The 26,732-nt window shown below is 43.9% G+C and overlaps 1 protein-coding gene and 1 long non-coding RNA gene across 5 annotated transcripts, besides 10 other annotated features; one reads left to right on the top strand and one right to left on the bottom strand.

Moving 5' to 3' along the window:
- Positions 1,183 to 2,016: an enhancer, noted in NCBI's record as "NANOG-H3K27ac hESC enhancer chr6:2908831-2909664 (GRCh37/hg19 assembly coordinates)". NCBI's record gives its function as "activates a minimal SCP1, AML or CMV promoter by ChIP-STARR-seq in primed H9 embryonic stem cells {active_cell/tissue: H9 hESC(primed)}" and the evidence as "EXISTENCE:reporter gene assay evidence [ECO:0000049][PMID:30033119]".
- Positions 1,183 to 2,850: a biological region, named in NCBI's record as "hESC enhancers GRCh37_chr6:2907997-2908830 and GRCh37_chr6:2908831-2909664".
- Positions 1,864 to 2,158: a silencer, noted in NCBI's record as "tiled region #12972; HepG2 Repressive non-DNase unmatched - State 20:ReprD, and K562 Repressive DNase matched - State 8:EnhW". NCBI's record gives its function as "represses a minimal TATA promoter and a strong SV40 promoter by Sharpr-MPRA in HepG2 and K562 cells {active_cell/tissue: HepG2 | K562}" and the evidence as "EXISTENCE:reporter gene assay evidence [ECO:0000049][PMID:27701403]".
- Positions 2,017 to 2,850: an enhancer, noted in NCBI's record as "H3K27ac-H3K4me1 hESC enhancer chr6:2907997-2908830 (GRCh37/hg19 assembly coordinates)". NCBI's record gives its function as "activates a minimal SCP1, AML or CMV promoter by ChIP-STARR-seq in primed H9 embryonic stem cells {active_cell/tissue: H9 hESC(primed)}" and the evidence as "EXISTENCE:reporter gene assay evidence [ECO:0000049][PMID:30033119]".
- Positions 7,109 to 7,158: a silencer, noted in NCBI's record as "silent region_16837". NCBI's record gives its function as "represses an Ori minimal core promoter by ATAC-STARR-seq in GM12878 lymphoblastoid cells {active_cell/tissue: GM12878}" and the evidence as "EXISTENCE:reporter gene assay evidence [ECO:0000049][PMID:35858748]".
- Positions 7,259 to 7,338: a silencer, noted in NCBI's record as "silent region_16836". NCBI's record gives its function as "represses an Ori minimal core promoter by ATAC-STARR-seq in GM12878 lymphoblastoid cells {active_cell/tissue: GM12878}" and the evidence as "EXISTENCE:reporter gene assay evidence [ECO:0000049][PMID:35858748]".
- Positions 7,304 to 23,343, top strand: SERPINB9 (serpin family B member 9). Of its 4 annotated transcripts, none has more exons than NM_004155.6 (7): positions 7,304 to 7,412; positions 9,992 to 10,169; positions 14,423 to 14,560; positions 15,105 to 15,222; positions 17,060 to 17,202; positions 18,625 to 18,780; positions 20,043 to 23,343. In NM_004155.6, exons 2-7 carry the CDS (start codon positions 10,002 to 10,004, stop codon positions 20,448 to 20,450), a joined length of 1,131 nt encoding a protein of 376 aa, NP_004146.1. In that variant the 5' UTR covers positions 7,304 to 7,412; positions 9,992 to 10,001; the 3' UTR covers positions 20,451 to 23,343. The 4 variants fall into 4 exon arrangements, with proteins under 4 accessions (NP_004146.1, XP_005249241.1, XP_011512980.1 ...); XM_005249184.6 differs by lacking the exon at positions 7,304 to 7,412 and adding an exon at positions 7,443 to 8,393; XM_011514678.3 differs by lacking the exon at positions 7,304 to 7,412 and adding an exon at positions 12,565 to 12,687 and having other exon boundaries at positions 10,076 to 10,169.
- Positions 7,339 to 7,840: an enhancer, noted in NCBI's record as "H3K27ac hESC enhancer chr6:2903007-2903508 (GRCh37/hg19 assembly coordinates)". NCBI's record gives its function as "activates a minimal SCP1, AML or CMV promoter by ChIP-STARR-seq in primed H9 embryonic stem cells {active_cell/tissue: H9 hESC(primed)}" and the evidence as "EXISTENCE:reporter gene assay evidence [ECO:0000049][PMID:30033119]".
- Positions 7,579 to 7,628: a silencer, noted in NCBI's record as "silent region_16835". NCBI's record gives its function as "represses an Ori minimal core promoter by ATAC-STARR-seq in GM12878 lymphoblastoid cells {active_cell/tissue: GM12878}" and the evidence as "EXISTENCE:reporter gene assay evidence [ECO:0000049][PMID:35858748]".
- On the bottom strand, positions 9,937 to 26,625 carry SERPINB9-AS1 (SERPINB9 antisense RNA 1). Its single transcript, NR_110841.1, has 5 exons — positions 26,532 to 26,625; positions 25,773 to 25,902; positions 11,494 to 11,584; positions 10,557 to 10,697; positions 9,937 to 10,130 (listed from the first exon to the last, which is right to left on the bottom strand). It is a non-coding gene; the product is annotated as an SERPINB9 antisense RNA 1 (long non-coding RNA).
- Positions 11,928 to 11,977: a silencer, noted in NCBI's record as "silent region_16834". NCBI's record gives its function as "represses an Ori minimal core promoter by ATAC-STARR-seq in GM12878 lymphoblastoid cells {active_cell/tissue: GM12878}" and the evidence as "EXISTENCE:reporter gene assay evidence [ECO:0000049][PMID:35858748]".
- Positions 22,881 to 23,081: a silencer, noted in NCBI's record as "peak5624 fragment used in MPRA reporter construct". NCBI's record gives its function as "represses an SCP1 promoter by STARR-seq MPRAs in K562 erythroleukemia cells {active_cell/tissue: K562}" and the evidence as "EXISTENCE:reporter gene assay evidence [ECO:0000049][PMID:32103011]".
- Positions 26,626 to 26,732: the final 107 nt, after the last annotated feature.

Here is a 26,732-nt window from a genome sequence, read left to right as displayed (position 1 = left end):
ATATCTTAGAATCGCTGACAGACTTTGGAGAAAAAAACACGTTTTAGTAAGTAGTACTCAGAATCAATGAAAAGGAAAATAAAAGAGGAACTACAGAAGAGTAGAGAATACACACAATTCTGCTGCCATCACATGTACTTAGAATTGCACTTGTGTAATTATAATTTTTATTTATTATTTTTTTTTTGAGACAGAATCTCAGTCTGTTGCCCAGGCTGGAGTGCAGTGGTGCGATCTTGGCTCACTGCAACCTCCATTTCCTGGGTTCAAGCCATTCTCCTGCCTCAGCCTCCTGAGTAGCTGGGATTACAGGCGCATGCCACCACGCCTGGCTAATTTTTGTATTTTTAGTAGACATGGGGTTTCACCATATTGGCCAGGCTGGTCTTGAACTCCTGACCTCAAGTGATCCACCTGCCTTGGCCTCCCAAAGTGTTAGGATTACAGGTGTGAGCCACTGGGCCTGGTCTAATTTTAATCTTTAATATTGCTTCTAAATTACATCTCCCTTGTTTATTTTTTGATAACCCTCTTCTGATGTCAATTTCAATATGTCCATTCTCCTGCGCCCAAATCTGCGTCTCCTCCTTAAACCCCGTCTTCCAGCATGCAGCACAAGGCTCAGCCATCAGGGCCTCCTCCCCCATCTCACCTCTGGGTGCTGGACTGGTTTCCTCTCAAGGCCTCTTACATTCGCCCCCTTTCTGAGTCATCCCTGCTACTGCCTGGCTTCACAATCCCCCTTTAGCTTCTACACTACCATCTTAACTGCCTTTTAAGCACTCTCTCCAAGCACAGCCTGAAACCTCCCTCTGTCTCATAAACCCCCATTACTGACAGAATAGTTTTTGTAAATAAAAAATCTGTTCATTAAACTGAGGCTTTAAATGTGAGTAGCTTTTATTTACTTAAACGTGTACTCACAGTCCAGAAAAACCCTTCCATAATGCAATACATGAGGCTCAAACAAATTCTACCAGGTTGAAGGGGTGGGTCGCCCCTCCACACCTGTGGGTGTTTCTCGTTAGGTGGAACGAGAGACTTGGAAAAGAAAAAGACACGGAGACAAAGTATAGAGAAAGAAATAAGGGCACCCAGGGGACCAGCATTCAGCATATGGAGGATCCCGCCGGCTTCTGAGTTCCCTTTGTATTTATTGATCATTCCTGGGTGTTTCTGAGAGAGGAGGATGTGTCAGGGTCACAAGACAATAGTGGGGAGAGGGTCAGCAGACAAACACGTGAACAAAGGTCTTTGCATCATAGACAAGGTAAAGAATCAAGTGCTGTGCTTTAGATACGCATCCACATAAACATCTCAATGCTTTACAAAGCAGTATTGCTGCCCGCATGTCCCACCTCCAGCCCTAAGGTAGTTTTTCCCTATCTCAGTAGACGGAACGTACAATCGGGTTTTATACCGAGACATTCCATTGCCCAGGGACGGGCAGGAGACAGATGCTTTCCTCTTGTCTCAACTGCAAGAGGCATTCCTTCCTCTTTTACTAATCCTCCTCAGCACAGACCCTTTACGGGTGTCGGGCTGGGGGACGGTCAGGTCTTTCCCTTCCCATGAAGCCATATTTCAGACTATCCCATGGGGAGAAACCTTGGATAATACCTGGCTTTCCTAGGCAGAGGTCCCTGCGGCCTTCCGCAGTGTTTGTGTCCCTGGATACTTGAGATGAGGGAGTGGTGATGACTCTTAAGGAGCATGCTGCCTTCAAGCATCTGTTTAACAAAGCACATCCTGCACAGCCCTTAATCCATTTAACCCTGAGTCTGACACAGCACATGTTTCAGAGAGCACGGGGTTGGGGGTAAGGTCATAGATCAACAACATCTCAAGGCAGAAGAATTTTTCTTAGTACAGCACAGAATGGAGTCTCCTATGTCTACTTCTTTCTACACAGACACAGTAACAATCTGATCTCTCTTGCTTTTCACCACACCAGGTAGCATGCAGGATGATGTTATCTGAGATCAGTGAGCTGCTGACTGGCTGGATTCCAAGGGTTCTTCTGTAAGATTCAAATACATCCCAGTCATCACTGCTGCCGGGGACTCTCCTGTGGAGGTTGCCTGCTCTCGGCTTATATCCCACTGGGGCAGATTCTGGGCCCTTTGGGTGGATAAGCACCAGCGATCCCAGGAATCATTTTTGAACATTGGCCTGATCTTTGACTATTATAATTGGAGAATACTGGGGACACAGGGGGCCACCTGCCACCTTTCTCGTTGCCTAGCCCCTTCTCCTCTCTACATCCTCTTCTGTAGAACCAAGATTATTTGAGAACAAGAAGATGGGCAGAGGATGGGAGGCTAGTGCCAAGCCCATTATAGCTGAAACCAGGTGATCATGGAAGGGAGTCAGCTCTGGGCTTCAAAGGTTTGCATACAGGCCTTTTCGATTTGACCTCAACATACGTTTCAAGGCTCATCTCCTGCTGCTGTGTTCTTCTTATCCCCCTCCCGACATACGTACTCGAGCACACACACACACACACACACAACCTCGACACACGTACTCGAGCGCACACACACACACAACCTCGACACACGTACTCGAGCACACACACACACAACCTTGACACACGTACTCGAGCACACACACACACCTCGACACACGTACTCGAGCACACACACACAACCTCGACACGTACTTGAGCACACACACACCTCGACACACGTACTCGAGCACACACACACAACCTCGACACACGTACTCGAGCACACACACACAACCTCGACACGTACTCGAGCACACACACACACAACCTCGACACACGTACTCGAGCACACACCTCGACACACGTACTCGAGCACACACACAACCTCGACACACGTACTCGAGCACACACACACAACCTCGACACACGTACTCGAGCACACACACACAACCTCGACACACGTACTCGAGCACACACACAACCTCGACACACGTACTCAAGCGCACACACACAACCTCGACACACGTACTCGAGCACACACACACACAACCTCAACACACGTACTCGAGCACACACAACATCGACACACGTACTCGAGCACACACACAACCTCGACACACGTACTCGAGCACACACACACAACCTGGACACACATACTCGAGCACACACACACACACACACAACCTCGACACACATACTCGAGCGCACACACACACACAACCTGGACACACATACTTGAGCGCGCGCACACACACACACAACTTTGACACACATACTCGAGCACACACACACACACAACCTGGACACACATACTCGAGCACACACACACAACCTCGACACACGTACTCGAGCACACACACAACCTTGACACACGTACTCGAGCACACACAACCTTGACACACGTACTCGAGCACACACACACACAACCTCGACACACGTACTCGAGCACACACACACACACACACACACAACCTCGACACACATACTCGAGCGCGCACACACACACACACACAACCTCCAGACCCTTCCAAGTCCATCTTCAGGGACCTTCCTTGGTCCCTGTTCTCTCAAGCCACCTGGATGATGCAGATCTGAAATGCCGTTTCCCTGTTTGCCCACTTGCAGATCTCTATTTCTTGATCATCTAATCCCAGTATGAAGCCTTTCAATCATTCAACAAATACGCTTCAGCAAATACAGTTGTCTCTTGGTATCTGATTGATTCCAGGATCCTAGCGAACATTGAGCTCTGCGGATCCTCAAGTCCCTAATATAACATGGCGTAGTGTTTGCATATAACCTATGCAAATGTAACCTGTGTAACATCCTCCCATACGCTTGAAATCATCTCTAGATTATGTATAATACCTAATACAATGTAAATGCTGTACAAATAGCCGTTATACTGTATTGTTTTAAATTTTGTATTATTTTTTGATTTTTTAAAAAATTTTTCCATCTGCAGTTGGTTGAATCTGTGGATGTGGAACCTGAGGTACCGGTGGCCAAATGTACAGTGTGCTAATATAAAAATTAGTAAAGGAGGGTTAGGCTGTCCTGAGGCTCGCAGTCCGGTGTGGGAGACAGAAGATTTAGTGGAAAGTCCCTGTGGAGCTTAAGTGTTGGGCTGGGCCATTCTAGGGGTGTTCAGGGCACCTTGGAAGTACCTCAGTGTGCTCGCCGTCTCTCCCTCAGACTGCTGCCCTCTTGGGCCAGATATTGTGTCTTCAACTTGGTACCAAGTTCCCAGCAAGTGCCAAGCCAAGCCCATGGCAGGAAGCGAATTATTTTTTGTTAACTGAATGCATGAGTCTTAGAATGGAACCTGACTGTGTCACAAGCATGATAGGAACATGTTGGGGGCAGGGAAATGTTTTCAAAGTTGTGGAAACCTTTGCAGAATGAATAGGGCCACGCTCCATATTTTGCTCTTTGCAGGACTTTAAGGAAGTGTGTCAAATGCCCACAGGTAGAGCTGGAAAATGTGGCCTTTGCTAAAGATGCAGAAGAGTCTAGAGACGCACAACGGCTGGGTCATTGGTGGTGAGGGACTTTATTTGCAGTGAACTTGGAGCTAGGAAGGAAGTTACTGCTGGGTGGGTCCTCAGTGACGGAGGTCTGCTTACACGTTTGCCAGGTTTTCAGGCCAGCAACATGATTCTGTCATTTCTCTTGGGCTTGTCTGATCATGAAGTAGTGATTTTTGAAAAATCCTTGGACCTGGTGTGAGGATCAAAGACTCCCTTCCTCCGGACAGTGTTGGAAAATCCTGGAAAAATGCTTCCTCTGGGGCCCTGTGTATTTTCTATCTGGGAAAACCATGATGAGCAATCAGATAAAGAAATATTTTTGTGATATGTTGTGACTTTCTTAAAGTAATAAAGTAGAAGAGATTTTAAATGAAAAATATAGGTAATTGCAAAATCTCTTGATTCTTAGCTATTTCTGAACAGATTTCATGCCCCACCCCCCCATACAATTTTTAGTGGGGGAAAGAGGAGAAAGGAAAGGAAAAGCTAAAATAACCTTGTTTTCATAGTTCTGTGTTTTTATCCTTTCCTAAACCCATTTTCCATCGCTGGTCACATGATTTGGATTGAAAGGACGTTTCCTCTAGGCCTCGGAGCACAGAGGCAGCTAACATGTTTGCACTATGCCATCATGGTCCACGTTTACTCAGACACTTTCTTGCAATGGCACTGACAACGATGCCCCCATTTGTTGCCTTAAAATTCATGGGTATGGCCAGGCACAGTGGTTCACGCCTGTAATCCCAGCACTTTGGGAGGCTGAGGCGGGAGGATCACCTGATGTCAGGAGTTCGTGACCAGCCTGGCCAACATGGTGAAACCCCATCTCTACTAAAAATACAAAAATTAGCTGGGTATGGTGATGCATGCCTATAGTCCCAGCTACTTGGGAGGCTGAGGCAGGAGAATCGCTGGAATTGGGAGGTGGAGGTTGCAGTGAGCCAAGATCACGCCATTGTTCTCCAGCCTAGGCGATAGAGCAAGACTCCACCTCAAAAAAATAAATAAGTGGATAAATAAATAACAGCTTTTTGTTTAATCAATTGTCTCTATCATTATAAAGTTTTCTATATCATTGATTTATTCTCTAATCTTTATTATTTCTTCTTTTCTACTGATTATGTGTTCAATGTATTTATACTTTTTCTAGTTTTTGAAGGTAGAAACTGAGGTCATTGATTTGAAGCCTTTCTCCTCTCCTAATATAGGCATTTCATGCTGCAAAATTTCCCCAAAGCTGACTTAATAACATCCTACAAATTTTGATGTTTTTATTTTCATTTTTTATTAATTTCAAAATACATTCTAATTTCCCTTTTGATTTTATAATATTTTTATAAGTATTATTCAGTTATAAAAAGAAATAAAGTACTAACAAATGCTACCTGGAACCATCAAGAATGACCCTTGAAAACATTATGCTAAGTGAAAGAAGGCAGTCAGGAAAGACCACATATTGTATGATTCAATTTGCATGAAATCTTCACAGTCGGTCAATCCGCAGGGCCAGAAAAGAAATCTGGAGGTCGGAGCCTCTCCCAGAAGCCAGGGGTTGTGGGAAGGAGGAAATGGAGAATAATTGCTAATGGGTATCACAGTTCCTTTTAGGGTGATGAAAACCTTCTGGAGTTAGATAGTGGTGAGAGTTGGACAGCTTTGTCAATATACCAAGAACTATTGAATTGTATGCTTTAAAAGGATGCATATTATGGTCCGTGAATTGTCTTTTAATAAAGGTTTTATTTTTAAAAACAAGCTAGGCACCTAGGGTGTCAAATTGAAGGAGGCTCTGATTCTCAGGGCCGCGCAAATGCAGGGTTGGCACCTATGCGTGTGGCCCTCCTGAAATTTTGTGCCTTAGGCACCTGCCTTGCTTCTCCCTAATTCAGGCCCTCAGGAGAAAGCTCTAATTCTGGTCAATTTGAAACAGGAGGGCACGGCTTCTGGGCGACGCTCCGTGCTCCAGAGAGAGCCATTTGTCTGTTCCCTTCCTCTGGACGTCACCGTGCCAACATGAAATGCTTCCAATTGAGTCCAGCCTGAGATGGAAGGGGGTGGGGGGATATCTGATGACATCACGAACTGCTGCATCAACTCCCCCGAGTCCCTGCCTCTGGACCCCCTGATAGAGGACACAAGGAGTGTCCTGAGCCCGTGTGACTCAGTGTCTCTTCCCATCACTTTGCGGGAAAATGGGGCTGCTTACACCACACCGCAGCCCAAACACCTGTGGCTAGAGAAGGGCTTGGGTACTAGGAGTGAGGACGCCTGGTTCTGGGCCCAGGACTAGTACTAGTTAGTGGTGGGACCTGGAACAAATGCTTTGGTTCTAAGTGAATCCCCCATATTCATGACAAGAGGCGTGGAACACAGACCCATGGGACCTTCCCACTGGAACACGGAGCTTGGCTGTCACCCGACCTTCGCTTCCTTAAGTACAAAAGCCCAGGGTTCCAGGCTCCGTCTCCTTTCCCGCAGACGCCTTGTTTCTTCGCGCGGAGGCCCTGGACGCCGCAGGCTCCCAACCTACTTCTCTGGGCTGTCAGGTTCTGAACCCGGTCCTGAAGAGGCCCTGGCGCCGGGGGTGGGTGAGGCCGAGCGCGCGCCTTGGGAACCTGGCCGGCCTCAGGCTGGCGGGAGCATTGGCGGACATCGCCCCGGGCGGGGCGGACTGGGGGGACCCTGACCTGACCCTGCTCCCAGCTCTGACCTCGGCCACCACGCGCGGCGCCCCCGCTGGTCCCGCCAGGCTCCGCCTAAACGCAGAAAGCGTGGGAGGCGCCCGACCCTGCGGTATAAAAGCGGTGCCTGCAGAGGCCCTAGCGGGAGTCCGCGGCGAGCGCAGCAGCAGGGCCGGGTCCTGCGCCTCGGGGGTCGGCGTCCAGGCTCGGAGCGCGGCACGGAGACGGCGGCAGCGCTGGACTAGGTGGCAGGTGAGGGCGTCCCCGCGCACGGCTGGGGTAGGGGACGGGAGTGGCGAGCTTCAGGTCCACCGGCTGCCACCGAGTGATGGGACCGGAGGACAGGAGAGGTCGCTCAGCCAAGAGCCCCGGGGAGGCGGTGCCTTCTCGGTGGGGTCAGCAACGGTCTCTGGGGGGTGCCTGGGAGCGGCAGCCGGTCTCCGCCTTGGCGGCCCACAGCCACCGCGGACGCCTCCCTCCCGGATGTCTCCTCGCTGCCCTTCCCTGGCCGAAGCCCTCCCCTGCAGCCTCCTCCCCACCTGCCGGCCCTGTGTTCTCACTGCTCTTCTCTGCTCTGGGATCCGCAGGATGACGTCTGTCCTGCTTCTTCACTGTCCTTTACAGTCACCAGTCTCGGCCGGGCGCAGTGGCTCACGCCTGTAATCCCAGCACTTTGGGAGGCCAAGGCGGTCGGATCCTTGGAGATCAGGAGTTCGAGACCAGTCTGGCAAACGTGGTGAAAACCGGTCTCTACTAAAAATACAGAAATTAGCCGGGCATGGTGGCCCACGCCTGTAATAATGTCAGCTATGTGCTGAGGCAGGAAAATCACTTCAACTCGGGAGGCAGAGGTTGCAGTGAGCTGGGATTGCGCCACTGCACTCCAGCCTGGCAGACAGAGTGAGACTTCGTCTCAAAACAAAAAAAAGAAAAACACAAAAAAACCACCACCAACAACAACAAAAAAATAAAGCCACCAGTCTCGGAGTTTCAAATCTGAGCACTCTTATCCATCTTAATTCTTTCAATAATTCAGCTAAACGAATGGGGTCCTGAGAATCTGCAGAGCCAGGCTCAGCGCTCGCCTGCAGAGCCTGCGGTCTGTGGGGACCACCAGCAAGATGAGGAATCACCTTCGGGAGGAAGGGTCGTGCTGGGGAGGGTCGCGCCGGCGGGGTCAAGAGAACCTCCTCCAGGGTGGGAATCAGAGCCTCCGGGCCGCGGTGTTTGAGGGTGAGTGGAATTAATGCCGTGATGGACATGGGGCCTTCTAAGGGGGACCAACAGTGTTTGTGAAGAGTTGACTTTGGGAGGGGTTCAGGATGGCCAGAGGTGGAGGCTGTGACCTCAGTGAGTCTGGATCAAGGGAGGGGGCAGGTGGGTAAGACACCGTTTTAACAAGGTGGCTTTGAGCGGCCACCTTTGAGGGGCCTAAGGGCCCCTGGGAGATTTAGGAGGAAGGACAAGAGGATTAAGACACCGCTTTCTGAGGTGCCGTGTGGCTGTGGCGTGGGGGTGGCTGGGGGAGTGGGTTGTGTTCATTGTCCAAGGCTCTCCAGCGCTTTGCGTGGCGTTTTGGGGAGCACAGATGAGGTGTCCCGACAGTGGGGAGTGGCTCTAGGGAGACCAGAGGCTCGGGAGGGGGCCTGGGCATTAGACCAGGCACAGAATCCGAAGTGGGAAGAAATGTGGGCGTAGAGGGCAGGCCTTGGGGATGGGTGTGGGGGAGGAGGGGGAGATGGAAAGGAGTCAGGGAGGTCTCCCAGGCTCACCTGGAGGAGTCAGGGTCTCATTTCCAAGTGCACTGGGAACTGCAGCCTGGGGGTGGGGGTTCATTTGGTTTCAGGCCTGTGGCCAAGAGACCCACCCCCTCACATTCACACTTTGGTCTCCAGTGGCTTCACAGGCACCACCTCCTTGTTCTCGCCTGTTTTACTCCTCACCTTGGGCTGTTTCTTGCCTTTCCATTCTGGCGTTCTGCAGGGATCAGATCCTTCCTCTCACGCACAATCTACACTCATGGCTTTTGCTGGGAGTAATGAGTAAAGCTCCCAAATAGATGTTTCTGAGTTAGGAAGCACATTAAAAACAAAACAAAACGAAGCAAAACCACACAATTGTCCAAGTCCCACTCTGTGTTCAAGGGTCACATGATGTGCAGAAGCTGGTGATGGGCAGGAGCTCTGAATGGAGTTACTGGGATGTCAGGCCGCGTGGGCCTGGGGCAGGCTGGCTGACTGGGAGCAGCCTGGCTCCACCCCGGCTGTCCAGGACGCACTCACTTGCCTCTATGGATGACAGCTCCTTGCCTCACAGCTGTCTGTCTCTGGGTCAGATTCAGCATCTCAGTGTCTTTTGTGTATCAGCTGAATGTCAGGGAGGCCACAGGCTGGTGCCCAGTTGAAAATCTCACAAGGACTCTTTGTAAATGCATGCAAGAATAAGAACAGCATTTTCCTCCTCCTCCCTGACCCCATTCTCCTCCTCAGATGGGACGATCTGGTCCTTACGGAAAGAATTGGAGTTCACTGCTTCCAGCTCTGTGTGTGTGTGTGTGTGTGTGTGTGAGAGAGCGAGCTCTGCAGGCGAGCCAGTTCTGTTGCTATTGCTGGTTTGAGCTGCTGCCATCACCACACTTAGCTAATTACCTTAACATTTGCACTTAATTTTTGGCCGGAGACTAACAGAAAATAAATTTTTCTCCAATTTAAAATACTTACGAACTTTAAGAAGAAAACAAAAAGTACGATTCCAAAATTGCCCTGTAGTAAGTAGGTCAGTAACATTCAGGGAGTGTGGAAACTGCATTTCTCTTTATTCTTCCCTTCCAGGCCCTGCATCATGGAAACTCTTTCTAATGCAAGTGGTACTTTTGCCATACGCCTTTTAAAGATACTGTGTCAAGATAACCCTTCGCACAACGTGTTCTGTTCTCCTGTGAGCATCTCCTCTGCCCTGGCCATGGTTCTCCTAGGGGCAAAGGGAAACACCGCAACCCAGATGGCCCAGGTAAGCTTGCCCGTCCGCCAGGAGCAGGGACTGGCCTGGGCTGCGTGTTCTGTCACCAGCTTCACACTCACACTCCAGAGCCACTGAGAAAGGAGGGCAGGACTGGGGCCCGAGTGTGCACTGGCCGTTTCAGGGAGGCGGGGTCCACTGGGGAAGAAGTGGGGCAGGGCAGGGAGGCAGGAACTCTGCTCCACCGAGATTTATTTGGGGGAAACTTTCCTCGGTTAATCCCTTGGAAAAGACCATCCAAGCTGTCTTGTCCTAGCGCAGAATCTTTCTTTAGAAAATGACACTGAAATTATTTGAAACATAAGTTGCAAAGAACTACCTCTTTTTTGGAGCAAGAGACTTTGTAACTAAACTTTCATTGGTAAGGAAGGTTAATACCTGTTTCAAGTTGTTTCTGTACCAACAGCTCAGGGAGGGCATCAACAGAAATTTGCAAGAAGGATTCCAGGGCAAGTGCTTCATTACAGCTGCACACTGTGCAGGTACTGCTCAGCTCAGTCTCACCAACATTCAGAGAACCTGTGGAAATGATTCAAGATCAGTGCTTGTCCCCAGACCTTTGTGGAAAGGAGAGGAGACATACACGTGAGATGAAACCGAAAAGCGCCATCCCTGAGTGCAGGCCGCTGGACACGCCTTCATCATGGGAGTTGTCCTTTGTTCAATATGACTGTCTTTTTCTTTGATGACGCTTTTCAATAGTGAATTACTCATTTTAATAATTTCCCAGCTCATTGTGTGAAGAAGGGAGGGTTTATGTGTAAAGGCTACCAGCCTTAATAATAAGCACAGAGAGGCTCTCTAAAAGATATATATATTTGGAAATAGGGCATTGCAATGAAAATACGCATGCCATGGCAAGCTATGTGCACATTCAGGGAGGTGAAATAACACTAAGATTTTTAAAGGAAAAAGTAAAGAGGATTACATAATTCCTTTGAAATAATTATTTTTGGCAAAAAGATCAATAACGAAGGTGATGTCAGTGTGAGGTTGGATGGGGAGTTCCTGGGTAGATGTCCTTGCACAAGTATTTTGTTGTGTAAGGCTGTGATGGCCTTTGTGCAAGAGCGTAGGTTTTTAGAGTCCTTTGTGATAGTTGTGTTATCAGGCATTCAAGCGTGAGAACCCTCTCTTCATGGCCTTCCCTGTCTGTTTGTCAAAGGTTTTTGGTTTTGTTTTTTTAATATTAGTGACTCCATTTTGATTCTGAAGTTCCTTATGCTGAAATCTGTATGATCTTTTTCTATGTTTTAGGCTCACTGATAAACCCTTATAGAAAGCTTTTTTGAGAGCACCAAAATTGTCTGGGTACCTTCTTAGGTGTGAGACTGAGCTCTCTCCATGGCTCCAGTGTTCAACTGGATGCTTGTGAGACACCAAACATACTGAGTACACGTTGCTACCTGTAACATGCAGGGAAGCGTTAATGGCAGCAGAAATATTTTAAAGAATTATTTATTTTTCCTTCATTATATAACTGGTAAAAGTCCACTATAAAAATTTTTAAAAAATAAAAGTAGAAGGGAGGAAAAAATCCCTATGAATCCATCAAACAGAGACAACCACCCTTGATAATGTAAAGCATCTTCCTCCAGTCCTATTTCTTTTTTTTTTTTTCGAGACAGAGTCTTGCTCTGTCGCCCAGGCTGGAGTGCAGTGGTGCGATCTCAGCTTACTGCAAGCTCCACCCCCCGAGTTCACACCATTCTTCCACCTCAGCCTCCCGAGTAGCTGGGACTACAGGTGCCCGCCCCCACGCCCAGCTAATTTTTATTTTTAGTAGAGACAGGGTTTCACTGTGTTAGTCAGGATGGTCTCGATCACCTGACCTCGTGATCCACCCGCCTTGGCCTCCCAAAGTGCTGGGATTACAGGCGTGAGCCACTGCGCCCGGCCCTATTTCCTGATTTTCACTTGACATTTTGTACTTTGGTGATTATATGGTATCTTTACTTTTATAAATGATTTTTCAGCTAATGTGAGGATTCGGTGAGACAGTCCATGTAAAGCAAGTGCTCAACATGTGTTGGCTATGAATAGTAATAGTGGTGTCACAGCCTCAGGTGAAATTGGTCTTAGCTTTTGGTTCTGTTCTATTTGACAGGGTTTCTCATCAACAGTCTATGAGCTGTCTAAAGTAAATTTAGTAGCTTCCTCTTTTTTCTATGTTATAGAACAGTGTGTATTGCATGAGAAATAGAAATTGCTTGAATATTAGAAAAAAAAATCCCTCAAAAGATCATCTAAGCCTTTTTAGAAGTAATTCTCTCTCTCCCTCTTATTTTTTTTTTGTTCATTCATTGTGACTGATAGATTCTGTTTTTTGTTTGTTTTGTTTGTTTTGTTTTGTTTTTTGAGATAGAGTCTCTGCTCTGTCACCCAGGCTGGAGTGCAGTGGTGCTATCTCAGCTCACTACGACCTCCAACTCCCGAGTTCAAGTTCACGTGATTCTCCTGCCTCAGCCTCCCGAGTAGCTGGGATTACAGGCACATGTCACCATGCCTGGCTAGTATTCATATTTTTGACTGGCATTTGGTAACTTATAATCTGTACTTTACTGAAAATAATTATATAGAGTTTTTGTTTTAACATTCCCTTTGTTTATATTGCTGTAACCTCTTTTTCACATATAACTTTACTTTGGGGTGCTTTTTCTTACATGTGGTGGGTGGCTGTCTGTTTTGTATGTATGTGTGTTTTCTTTTAAAGAACCAGCTCTTGGATTCATTGATCATTTTGTGTTTGTCCCAAAATTCCTTGGGAGTTTTTCTGTATCTTTTCTAACATAATGATTTTAAAGTTTTAGCATTTTATTACTTTCTTGGTAATATTGAAAACAATGCTATGTTTTAACTTATCTTTGGCCAAACTCTTTGGTCTAATATATATCACCCATATTTTGATTATTTTCTAAATCATATGTCATATACTTATTTAGAAGAATTTGTTTGTTTGTTTGTTTTTTGAGAAGGAGTCTTGCTCTGTTGCCCAGGCTGGAGTGCAGTGGTATGACCTTGGCTCACTGCAACTTCCGCCTCCTGGGTTCAAGTGATTCTCCTGCCTCAGCCTCCCAAGTAGCTGGGATTACCAGCAAGCATCACCACACCCGGCTAATTTTCGTATTTTTAGTAGAGACAGGATTTCGCCATCTTGGCCAGGCTGGTCTTGAACTCCTGACCTCAAGTGATCTGCCCGCCTCGGCCCCCCAAAGTGCTGGGATTACAGGCATGAGCCACTGTGCCCAGCCTAGAAGAATATTTTAAATATTTGTTTAGAAGAGGATTTTTTGTGTTTTTTTTTTTTTTTTGACATGGTCTTGCTCTGTCTCCTAGGCTGGAGTGCAGCAGCTTGATCATAGCTCACTGCAGCCTCAAAGTCCTGGGCTCCAGCAATCCTCCCATCTCAGCCTTCCAAGTAGCTGGGACCACAGGCACACACCATCATGCCCAGCTAAGTGGAGATGGGATCTTGCAATGTTGCCCAGGCTAGCCTCAAACTCTTGGGCTCAAACAATCCTCCTGCCTTGGCCTCCAAAAGTGCTGGGATTATAGGCATGAGCCACTGTGCCTGGCCTAGAAAAGTATTTTAATTTTTACTTTGAAGAGTTAATTATTTAGAAAAGTGTTTTCAGTAATATTTTGTAGGTGATTTTCATTTTGTTGGCATTTTATTTATAATGCTGATTTTTTGTTACTACATTGAAGTTAGAGAATATGATCTATATAATTCTGTATTTCAGAATGTATTGGGATGTTGAGACTTTTCTTATGGCCCAATATGTGTGATATATTTTGAAATATTTAATATACACACATGTAGTCCCTATAGGGTACAATTTTAATAACTGTGTTATTGTCTTATTAATCACATTGCTCATGTAATATCCTTGTTTCCTTTTGAGGATTCTGATGATTGTATTTCCGTCTATTTTTCCATGCATTTTTTCTGCTTTTAACTTTTTAACTGCATCTTTTTTTTTCACTATAAATTTTAGAGGTAATTTTCCCACCACTTAGGGTACATTTATATTTTCCTTTTGATGCAAGATTTTATCACAACCTCTTTTCTGAGCTTTTCTCACCCTTGTCATTTTTTGTGTGTTACTGATCTTTAAACAAGCGAGATCCATTCAGGCAGAATGGCTACATCTTTTACTCGCCTGTTTTCTGTCCCCTCTCTCTCCTCTCCCCAGCCATCAAAGAGCTATCTTGATAACTTTTAAAATTATCTTTCACAACAGGCACTGTCTTTAAACACAGAGGAAGACATTCATCGGGCTTTCCAGTCGCTTCTCACTGAAGTGAACAAGGCTGGCACACAGTACCTGCTGAGAACGGCCAACAGGCTCTTTGGAGAGAAAACTTGTCAGTTCCTCTCAGTAAGTTGAATCAATAGAACAATAAAAGTTGCATTCAACATACCTGGTGATATAGAGTCTGGGAGAAAGACCCTAGAGAAATTGAGAAATTTATGTTAACCAATTTAAAAAAATTGCACTATTTTTTTTTCTAAGATGGGGTCTCACTACGTTGCCCAGGCTGGTCTTAAACTCCTGGTCTCAAGTGATCCTCCTGCCTGTTGGGATTACAGATGTGAGCCACCACGCCCAGCCTAAACTTCTTTTTTTTTTTAAAGACTGCAATTCTATAATTATACCTTGCATTAGTATTGCAAAAGTAGTCTCTACTTTTCTTGAAAGGTAAAATTGAAAGGTAAAATTCTCAAGTTCATTTCTGGTTATTCAGGGTTCAATACATACCTATTCACAAACTCTGATATTTTAACATATCTTCATATGATCACTTTTAAAGAGTTATGTATATTCTTTTTATTAAAAAAAGATAACATATTTAGAATTTTTGGAAGTTTGCTGACATTTGTATTTAGCAATGCAGCCTCACTGAACATTTTTCTCTCCAAAGACGTTTAAGGAATCCTGTCTTCAATTCTACCATGCTGAGCTGAAGGAGCTTTCCTTTATCAGAGCTGCAGAAGAGTCCAGGAAACACATCAACACCTGGGTCTCAAAAAAGACCGAAGGTCAGAATGACAAGTTATTGCACCTTCCTCCCAACCCGTCCTCCTCCTGCGGCTCTTCCTATTCCTCCTTCCCGCCTCTTATATCCTCTCTCCTCCTCCTCTCCCTCCTATCCCTCCTCCCTCTCCTCACCCACCTCCACCTCTCCACTCCGCCCCCTCTAATTTCACGGGTGTTTCAGATGGTCAGAGTAGTGTTGACTGGCAGGGCCTCCTGGCATACTGAACCTTGATGGACTCATAAAGGTTCTGATCAGACATTCAGGTTTTCAGCAACAGAGATTTACTTTTGTCTATTCTCCCAGGACCAGAGTAGCTGATACAAATGTCAAAAGAGGGCCAGCCACGGTGGCTCTCGCCTGTAATCCCAGCAATTTAGAAGGCCGAAGTGGACATATCACTTGAGGTCAGGAGTTCGAGACCAGCCTGACCAACATGGTGGGACCCCCCCCCGCCCAACATCTCTACTAAAAATACAAAAATTAGCCAGGTGTGGTGGCCCATGCCTGTAATCCCAGCTGCTTGGGAGGCTGAGACATGAGAATCACTTGAACCTGGGAGGCAGAAGTTGTAGTGAGCTGAGATCATGCCACTGAACTCCAGCCTGTCTCAAAAACAAAAAACAAACAAAAAAACAAATGTCAAAAGAATCTCAGGCCAGGTTTCCAGTTTAATAACTTGCATTAAAATATACTCTCCCTGGCCTGTAACATTCACATGTCAGGTGACTCCATTGTCTCTGCGAGAAGGAGATTGGTGGACAGATCTTGCCTGAGGTATACACTTGGGCTGCCTCTTCCTAGGTTCTGGGGGACCTCCATCACCATTACCTTTACCTGCTAAGGTCACTCCTGACTTTTCATGTCTTCCACTTAAGCTCCTTTAGTTTGACTTGATAAGCCTACATTTGATTGGTTAACTGCCGACCCTCTCTCAGGGCTGATCAGTTCCACAGACTGAAAATACCCTCCATTTGGGGTTGAACCTTATTCATCTACATTTCAGAAAGTGACGTGTTCCAGTCTAGGCCTCCAAGACCAATGATGGTCTGATGAACCATTCAGACTCCTCTGCGCCAATTATGCTTAGTACCACCAGGAACATTTCCATTTCTGTGAATAAATGAGACGGTAAAGAATGGGAGACGTTCTTCGCTTAAAGTCTCAGCAGTTGTTTCCCGCATTCCTGCTTGGAGTATTTACCACGGATGCTCTCTTCAGGCAGTGGGTTAGCAGGGATGCCCTCAGTTCATTGAAACAGTACCACTTGATCTCCAGGGAAAGAAGGGGTGATCTTTGTTTGCCCACATCCTCTTTTCCAGGGATGCCTAGTGCTTTGTTGAGGGGATTCAGCAGGAATATCTCCTCCAAAAGCTTCTGGAAACTCCCCATGTGCCCAATGTCAGCTCTTCCCGCTTTGAGCCGTCCATTCTGGTTGCTTCTGACATGTCCATGTATAGTCACAGAATGTTAGAACTGGGTGTGATCATGAAGGGTTGGATCAAACACTCCAATTAACCATGTGAGACAAACACCCCTTCAGCCTATCACATTTCCTGCTGGTCTTGTTCTCCAACCTGGTGTAATTTTTCTACTTTGTACCAACCTGCTTTCCTCGAGTGACTTAGGTATCTTTCACCATCCTCAACTTGGTGGATGTTCTCAAGGTGTCAGTAATCATGAATACCACTCATATGTGCTGTTTTTATTTCTCTACATAACAACCCAAACTCAGCAAAGTTGAAAACAGAAGTTTGCTTCTCAACTAATGATCCAGGATCATCCAATGCATCAGGTTCTTATAAAAAGCAACTGAATGTAGTCTCTACTTTTCTTGAAAGGTAAAATTGAAGAGTTGTTGCCGGGTAGCTCAATTGATGCAGAAACCAGGCTGGTTCTTGTCAATGCCATCTACTTCAAAGGAAAGTGGAATGAACCGTTTGACGAAACATACACAAGGGAAATGCCCTTTAAAATAAACCAGGTGGGGGAAGCTTTTTAAAATCCTGCTAGTTTGATGAAGAAGTTGAATGGAAAGATTTAACTTTGTAAAAGTGTAAGTGACATAAGCGTAAGCCAAAAGGAATTTGAAACTTAAAGTATTTCTGAATGAATTTCTTAACTCAGTAGAAAAAAACGGAAGGAGTAAAAGATATTTGCTGCATATATATATTATATATACGTATATATAATATATATATATATATGTAGTGTTTTATCACTGCTCTTAACTGCCTTTGATAATTTCTCATAAACCATTGCTGCCACCTAGTTTTGGAAACTAAAGATCTTCCTATAAGCCCAATTTACTTGGCTAGAAAGCAAAAAAAAAAAAAAAAAAGTGTTAAGGTAGTGTGATATGTGGGAGTGAGAGGCAGTATAGGGCAGGGTAGAGGGAGAGAAGGTGAAAACATGTGTCTTTAATTAGTTATTTTTAAAATTAAAGTAAGTTTTGATTTGAATTGTTAACTAATTATCATTAATTCAGTATTTACAGCTTTTTAATATTAAAACTTCATGACAAAGACCTTAGTTTTGACATTGAAGTAAAACTTAATTAAGGCAGGCATTAGAATAATTTGCCAAATCTTCCAGCCCCTAAAAAGATACTATTTTAATGTAATTAAAAAACAAAAGCAGGTAACCCTCCTGCATTTTTTGTAAGGTGTACTTTAACTTAAAAAAATTAGTTCTCTAGTTGCAAAGGGTGGGAGGAGGAGAATTCTAACCCTGGTTTTAGAACTATTTTAATTTTTATAATAAATGATCTGTATCAATTTTTTAAAGTATTACGTTAATAAATGTAATACTTTGCTGAGCTTCTATGTGCTTATGCCTCTTCTGTATTTTAAAAAAGTTATTTCATTAGAGTATCAGAATTGAAAAGATTGGGTTAAAATACATTACTACATATGTAGGTCGTTACTCTTTCTGAGAGAGTGTATCCATTTATACTCCCTGTCATGCTGTTGTGGAACTATAAGTTTCATCCCACTTTATGATTTTTTTTCTCATATGTTGGGTTGGATAAATAGGAAAAACAATACACATTTTTTTCTAATTAAATCAAAACAAATTTGTATTTAATTTCATTTGATTATATTGCTTTCTTAGATCTATTTGCTGAGCACAATTTAAATGAGAAACATCTTTCTCCTCTGGAAAATGTAGGGTATCACATTTTATTTTGCAGAAGAAAACCTTTCCCAGGGTGGTACTGTGTCTGCTTGCAATGAAGATAGGAAGGAACTGGTTGACTTTTTTTTTTTTTTTTTTTTTTTTTTTTTTTAGTGTTAACTGGGGCATGAATGTGGCGGTTTCCATCACAGGTGCTGAAAACACTCTTGGAGGCAACTGCAGCTCTTTTGAAAGTTTTAATTGCGTCTTTCAATAATCCTTCCCCCAGGAGGAGCAAAGGCCAGTGCAGATGATGTATCAGGAGGCCACGTTTAAGCTCGCCCACGTGGGCGAGGTGCGCGCGCAGCTGCTGGAGCTGCCCTACGCCAGGAAGGAGCTGAGCCTGCTGGTGCTGCTGCCTGACGACGGCGTGGAGCTCAGCACGGTAAGACCCGGGCTGCGGGAAGAACCCAGGGACACCTTTGCGGGCAGAACTCGAGTGCCACTTCCACCTCTCATATTCACCTTCTGAGTTGGCGATGCGGCAGACGCACACTGTGCAGGCACTTGGCGTTGGGATCGAACTTTTGTTCAAGGCTGACTTTTCCCAATATTGTCTGCGTGATCTGCCAAACTACACATCTCAGTCCTCTGTTTTTTCATCGCTAGAAGGAGTGGGCGGCGGTTAAAATGCCTTTTAAAATAAATCAGGTAGGAGGAAGCTTATAAAAATCCTGCTAGTTTGATGAATGGCAGACTTTTAACTCTAAAAGCATAAATGACTGCTCGGGGTTATTGCCTCCTAGAGTTATGATGAGGATAAAATGTGGGTAATTCAGGTAACAAGCTTACCACATTGCCTGGCAACTAGTAAATGCTCTACAAATGTGATCCATTATTACAATCATCATTCTTAGCATTATGCTTTTAAAGTCTAGGAACCTGAAATAGAGAATGAGGAAGTCTTAACTTTGACCTAACAAGGCTGGGAGGGGGCATCCAGGGAGGTGTGAAGTCCAGTTCTCAGAGGGTGGGACCAGAGGCAGCCTCTGAGGGCACATCCAGGCACTCGGCTTCCTTTCAGCATGGATCTCCAGGGTGAGAGAGTCAACCATGGCAAATGGCAGGCAGTGGGACCCCATGACTTAAGAGGTCTGTGTGCGCAGCAGCCATTGGCTCTCCCTCTGCCCACCTTCCTGAAACTATGCTCCGGAAACTATGCAGAATCTCTCTGGGGCAGATAATCCTCTGGTAACCTCTCTGCTCCGGAAACTATGCAGAATCTCACCTGGGACAGATAATCCTGTTGGAGTGGCTCACACTGAGAGCCCTTTCGTTTCCAATCCTTTTCTTTACTAGCAATGGTTTGTTGTCTTTAAAAAGACTATGTTTGAAAAAAAAACACAGTCGCCTGGGCATTGACACTTGTCACAATACAAGATGTCTCTGGAGTTGTTGGATAAGGAGAGGACAGCCACAGCCTTCCTGCCTCTGACTGCTTGGTGTCTCTCCCCCTTGTCAAGGAAGTGGCACATGGGACATAGGACAAGTAAGAGTGCTCACAAGCTTCTGGCAGATGAAGGGGCCACTGATCCTATGTGAACAAACAACACCTACGTGCAAGGGGAGGAAGGGAACTGTGAGTGCCTGTGCGCTTGTACATGTGCACTGAAGTCGGAATCTTAAAGTCTAATTCTGGTCTTTCAGGTGGAAAAAAGTCTCACTTTTGAGAAACTCACAGCCTGGACCAAGCCAGACTGTATGAAGAGTACTGAGGTTGAAGTTCTCCTTCCAAAATTTAAACTACAAGAGGATTATGACATGGAATCTGTGCTTCGGCATTTGGGAATTGTTGATGCCTTCCAACAGGGCAAGGCTGACTTGTCGGCAATGTCAGCGGAGAGAGACCTGTGTCTGTCCAAGTTCGTGCACAAGAGTTTTGTGGAGGTGAATGAAGAAGGCACCGAGGCAGCGGCAGCGTCGAGCTGCTTTGTAGTTGCAGAGTGCTGCATGGAATCTGGCCCCAGGTTCTGTGCTGACCACCCTTTCCTTTTCTTCATCAGGCACAACAGAGCCAACAGCATTCTGTTCTGTGGCAGGTTCTCATCGCCATAAAGGGTGCACTTACCGTGCACTCGGCCATTTCCCTCTTCCTGTGTCCCCAGATCCCCACTACAGCTCCAAGAGGATGGGCCTAGAAAGCCAAGTGCAAAGATGAGGGCAGATTCTTTACCTGTCTGCCCTCATGATTTGCCAGCATGAATTCATGATGCTCCACACTCGCTTATGCTACTTAATCAGAATCTTGAGAAAATAGACCATAATGATTCCCTGTTGTATTAAAATTGCAGTCCAAATCCCATAGGATGGCAAGCAAAGTTCTTCTAGAATTCCACATGCAATTCACTCTGGCGACCCTGTGCTTTCCTGACACTGCGAATACATTCCTTAACCCGCTGCCTCAGTGGTAATAAATGGTGCTAGATATTGCTACTATTTTATAGATTTCCTGGTGCTTAGCCTTATAAAAAAGGTTGTAAAATGTACATTTATATTTTATCTTTTTTTTTTTTTTTTTTCTGAGACGCAGTCTGGCTCTCTGTCGCCCAGGCTGGAGTGCAGTGGCTCGATCTCGGCTCACTGCAAGCTCCGCCTCCCGGGTTCACGCCATTCTCCTGCCTCAGCCTCCCGAGTAGCTGGGACTACAGGCGCCCGCCACCACGCCCGGCTAATTTTTTGTATTTTTAGTAGAGACGGGGTTTCACCGTGTTAGCCAGGATGGTGTCGATCTCCTGACCTCGTGATCCACCCGCCTCGGCCTCCCAAAGTGCTGGGATTACAGGCTTGAGCCACCGCGCCCGGCTATATTTTATCTTTTATCTTTTTCTTTGACATTTACCAATCACCAAGCATGCACCAAACACTGCTTTAGGCACTGGGGACACAAAGGGGACAGAGCCATCCTCCTTTGACACCTGGTCTTCAGTTCTGTGCCCAACGTATATAGTTTTGACAATGACCAGGTTGGACTGTTTAATGTCTTTCAACTTACCACGTAATCCTCTTGTAGGGATCACATCTTTCTTTATGATATTGTATTTCTCTACCTCTAACAGTAAAAATTCCATTCAACCCTTAAAGCTCACTTCAAATTCTTCTTTGAGAAGTTTTTCCTTTCTCCGCAACCAGATGTACATATTTGAACTCTCTTTGTACTTGGAGGGCACTTCTTTCGTGGTAGTTCTTTTATTTTTATTAATCTCTGTATCCTTAGATAGTCCTCCAACAACCAAAGGTTGGGACTCTGTCTTACATATCTGGGTGCCCCTCATAGTGCAGTAATAAGTAAGTTGATTATATACGAGCTATGTAACTTATATTTTTTAATGGTTGGATATCACTGAGTTTTTTTTTTTAAGAATTTTTTTATTGAGGTAAACTTCACATAACATAAAATTAACTATTTTAAAGTGAGAAGTTCAGTGCCACTTAGTATTGTTAACAATGTTGCATAACCACCACCTTTATTTAAAGTTCCAAAAAAAATGTTCTCCTCTAAAAGGAAACCCCATCCCATTAAGCAGATACTCTCCATTCCTTCCTTCCTCCAGCCCCCAGCAACCACCAATCTGCTTTCTGTCTCTATGGATTTATCTATTCTTGCTATTTTATATAAATTGAATTGTATGAGACCTTTTGTGTCTGGCTTCTTTCACTTAGTACAAGTTTTTGAGATTTATTTACATAGTAGCATGTATCAACACTTCATTTTTATGGCCAAATAAAATTGTATTATGTGTTTATAGCACAATTTATTTATCCACTCATTCATTGATGGACTTTGGGTTGTTTCTGACTTTTGGCTATTGGGAATAGTGCTGCTATGAATGTTTGTGTACCTGTATTTGTTTGAATGCCTATTTTGCATTCTCTTGGGTATATATCTAGGAGTGGAACTGCTGGGTCATATGTTAATTCTATGTTTAGCTTTTTGAGGAACAGACAAACTGTTTTCCACAGCAGTTGAACCATTCCACATTCCCACCAGCAATGTATGAGAATTCCAATTTCTGTCCACTTCCTCACCAACACTTATTATTTTCCTTTTCCTTTTTTTAAAAAAAATAAGTTATGGCCATCTTAGTGGGTGTGAAGTGGTATCTCATTGTGTTTTTTATTTGCATTTCCTATGTAATGAGCTAGAAACTAAAGTACAAACTAGATGGGACATCCAGTCCCTTTGATAGATAATGCTGAGTAAAAAATGAGATGAAAGACATTTGTTTGTTTTTAGAACACGAGTGACAGTTTGTTAAAAAGCTTTAGAGGAGGAATGAAAACAAAGTGAAGTACACTTAGAAAAGGGCCAAGTGGACATCTTGGATGTCAAGTGCCTAGTTCAGTATCTTTTTTTTTTTTTTTTTTTTTTTTGAGACAGTGCCTCACTCTGTCACCCAGGCTGGAGTGTAGTGGCATGATCTGGGCTCACTGCAACCTCCTCCTCCTGGATTCAAGCAATTCTCTTGCTTCAGCCTCCCAAGTAGCTGAGACTACAAGCACCCACCATCACACCCAGCTAATTTTGTATTTTTCAGTAGAGACGGGGTTTCGCCACATTGGCCGTGTTGGTCTTGAACTCCTGGCCTCAAGCGATCCGCCTACCTCAGCCTCCCAAAGTGCTAGGATTACAGGCATAAGCCACTGAGCCCAGCCCTAGTTCAGTATCTTTTATGTAAATTACAAACATCTGCAACATTATGTATCATATGCAGATACTTATTGCATTTCTTTTATTAGTGGTGAAAGTGTTCTATGCATTTATTGGCTCTTGAATTTCCTCATCTATGAATTGTCATTCATACACCTACTTTTCTGCTTCGTTTTTACATATGTCTTTGCCTATTAAAGATATTATCCCTCTGTTTTATATTTTCTCTCATTCTTGTATTGCCTTTTAAATTTTGTTATGATGTTTCATTAATAAACAGTGTTTTGTTTTCCTCTATAATCAAATCTAGATTTTCCCTTTGTGATTTCCGACACCACTTCCATTCTTAGAAGTACTTTTCCATTCATAAAGTAGTAAAATAAAATAGTTTTTTCTCTAAACTTTTATTTTTGTAATGATTTAACTAATTCACATGGAATTTGATTTTGTATTATTGACATTCAGGAGAAAGCATAATTTTATTTATTAGCCAATTTCTGGATATTGTAAATCTATTTTTCCATCTTTATTCTTCTGGTGAACTTTAGAATAATTTTTTAATACCCAAAGTAATTTTTTTAACTTTCAATTTTTTGGGAGGAAGGATTAGCATGACATTAAGCATATAAATTACTTGAGTAAATTGATGTATTTACAATGTTTAGTCATCTCATTAAGGAAAATGAGAAGAGTCTCCATTTATTCAAGCCCTTTTCTATACTACTTTTATTAAAACTTTTTTTTTGAGTTTTTTTCAATATAAGTCCTACATATCTTTTTTTTCTTGTTATGGCTATTTCTAAATTTTAGTAACAATTTTAAACAAGAGCATTTCCCCTGACCTGATTATGGATGGCATATAAGTAAACCATTGAAGCTTATACATTTATCTTGTGCATGACCAATTTGGTATAGCCTTTTGGTAATTTAAGAATTTTCAGTAAATCATCTTGGAGTTTCTGCTATATGATTATGCAATAGGCAAACGATCTTTACTATGTACGTAACGGTATATGCAAATAAGAAAGAGGACATCCTTCTAACTGACACACCCCTAGTGTCTGTTTTTTGTTTATTGTTTTGTCTTTGTCTTTTTTGCATTACCCAGGCAGGAGACAACTTTCTGTGGTTTAGATATTTGTTCCCCCACATTTCATGTTGAAACATGATCCCCAATGTTGGAGGTGGGGTCTAATGGGAAGTATTTGGATCATGGGGGCATGAATGGCTTGGTGCCATCCTCGAGGTAATGAGTGAGTTCTGGCTTTATTTGTTCCCCTGAGAACTGGTTGTTAAAAAGAGCCTGACACCTGCCCTCTGTCTCTTGCTTTTGATCTATTGCCTTGTGATCTCTGCACATGGCAGTTCACCTTCACCTTTTGCCATCAGTGGAAGCAGCCTGAGTCCTCACCAGAAGCAGATGCTGGTGCCATGCCTTTTGTACAGCCCGCAGAACTGTGAGTCAAATAAACCTCTTCTCTTTGTGAATTACCCAGCCTCATGTATGTGGTTTTTTTTTTTATAGCAACACAAATGAACCAAGACACAGAGGGCACAATCATGACAGAAATTCTTGTTCCGCTCTCTGTTTTAATTTAGAGGTTGATAATATCCAGTATTGGTGAGCATACGAGAAAACAGGCATCCTTACCTTGTGTGTGGGAATGTGGATTAAGGGTTTTTGGAAGGAAGTGGGCAGCCTTTTCATTTTAAATGGACATTCTTTTTGGGCCAGCATCTCACTTTTAGATGTCTGATCTACATAAGTATTTGCATACATGCTTAGATATGCTAAGGTTTTCCCTGTAGTATTTTCAAAGGCATTTTTGCAGGGTAATTTAAAAAATCGTGGTAAAGAAAAACAAAATTTACCATCTTAAGCATTTCTAAGTGTACAGTTAGCATTGTTGAATAGCAAAAAAGGAAAGAAAAAGGAAGGAAGGAAAGAAGGTAGAGAGGGAGGGAGGGAAAAAACAAAGAAAATGAAGTGTAATTAATTCAATTTTAATTTTGCCTTCAATAGGAGAAGAATTTAATTTATAGTATGAACTACTATGCAGAATTTTAAAATATCACAATAGGTTCAAATGCACTTCTTGTAAAACACTATGAAAACAAATTAAGTGAAAAATGTAACTGGCAATGCAATGTGTATAATATGATCTCATTTATGTGAACGAAACCCTGTGTATGTAAATTTATGTATACAAATCTATGGGGAGAGGTTTAAAAGGTGACACTTTTCATTGCTAACAGAGGTTGTCTCTGAGATAGGTTTGGGGAAGGAGATGTGGGAAAAAACCTTCCATTTTTTGCCTTCTATATTTCTGTAATATTTAAAATTTTAACAAGGAAAATCTAATTCTGTAGCCTGCACATAATCTAAAGAAAGAAGAACTCCATTATACAACCATATATCTAATATTAAGTGACATGGTATTGAAATTGAAATAAAATCCATATAAATGGTTTTTGAAAATATCTGTTTATCCTTGGTTTTTATAAAAGTTTTTAATGAGAATGGCATTTGAACATTGACTTCCCCTTTTCATGAATAAAGTCTATTTCTGCCTTTTCTTATGTTTAAGAGCTGTTTTTATTTCCTGTTCTGTGAATTGGCTTCATATACTTCACCCATATTTTTCTTCAGGAGTGTAGGCCTAGTATGCATGGATGAGTAGAAGCATTTTTTATACTCAAGGAATTAAGCCGAGCACAGTGGCACGTACCTGTAGTCCCAGCTGCTTGGGAGGCTGGGGCGGAAGAACTGCTTGAGCCCAGGAGGCTGTAGTGTGCTATGATTGTGCTTGTTAATAGCCAATGCCCTTCAGCCTGGGCAATGCAGTGAGGCCCCCATCTCTTAAAAAAAAATGGTAAGAAAGAGATTAGCCTTTTGTCTATGAAATGAATCATAAATATATCCCTAGATTGTTATTTGTATTTTATCTTGTTTACAGTATTTTCACCATGTGAAATTAGAGTTTTTATGTAGTCAAATTTATGAATCTTTTAGCTTCCAGGTTTTGTGACTGTTTATTCCTTCCTCAGCCAACTCCAATCTGGTTTGTGCTCCACCATTACACGAAATAAATGGTCACCAACACCCTCCTTGTTCCTAAGTTCAATAGAAACCTGACTTTTTGGCAATATTCTACCCTTTTGGAGACTTCTTCCTTAAGAAACACTTTTTGCTTTGGGTCCTGATCTTCCTTCTAGCTTCCTGGCCTCTCTTGCTTAGTCTCATTGTCCTGCCCTTTCCCTGGCCCATGCTTTAAATATTGCTATCCCTTGCGGGGCTGGCCTGAGTCTTCTTTCATCCACTTTCTCCCAAATTGGTCTGGCCCTCATCAATGACCTGACTGCCAGCCCAGAGCTCAGATCTCTCTCCTGAGCTCCAGACCCAAATCTCTACTTGCTCATCCTATCCTTCCATTTGGACACACAAGTATCTCTACCTCAATGTATCCAAAGCCAAGATTATTACCCACCTTCCCAACACACCTTCTTGGATTCACCAGAGCAGGGATCAAGTTCACTTCATCAGCTCTGCATACTGGACACCTCACTCAGTGTCTTCTGCTCCTTATGAATTATCAGTTGCATTAAACTGAAAGGCAAGACAATCCGTGCTGTTACCCAAGCTGGACAATGAGACACCTTCTTCCCCCGTCACTCTGTCATGCAAATTT

This window comes from Homo sapiens, chromosome 6 (genome assembly GCF_000001405.40).
Source record: "Homo sapiens chromosome 6, GRCh38.p14 Primary Assembly".
Lineage (NCBI taxonomy): Eukaryota > Metazoa > Chordata > Mammalia > Primates > Hominidae > Homo > Homo sapiens.
The sequence above is the reverse complement of the archived record's forward strand: the minus strand, read 5'-3'. Positions and strand labels throughout refer to the sequence as shown.

What these genes read in the sequence shown, in the direction of transcription:
- SERPINB9 (NM_004155.6), top strand. Translation starts at nt 10,002, where the DNA reads ATGGAAACTCTTTCTAATGCAAGTGGTACTTTTGCCATACGCCTTTTA. An exon ending in TGCCCTTTAAAATAAACCAG is followed by an intron (nt 17,203 to 18,624) that starts GTGGGGGAAGCT and finishes TCCTTCCCCCAG; the next exon opens with GAGGAGCAAAGGCCAGTGCA. An exon ending in ACGGCGTGGAGCTCAGCACG is followed by an intron (nt 18,781 to 20,042) that starts GTAAGACCCGGG and finishes CTGGTCTTTCAG; the next exon opens with GTGGAAAAAAGTCTCACTTT.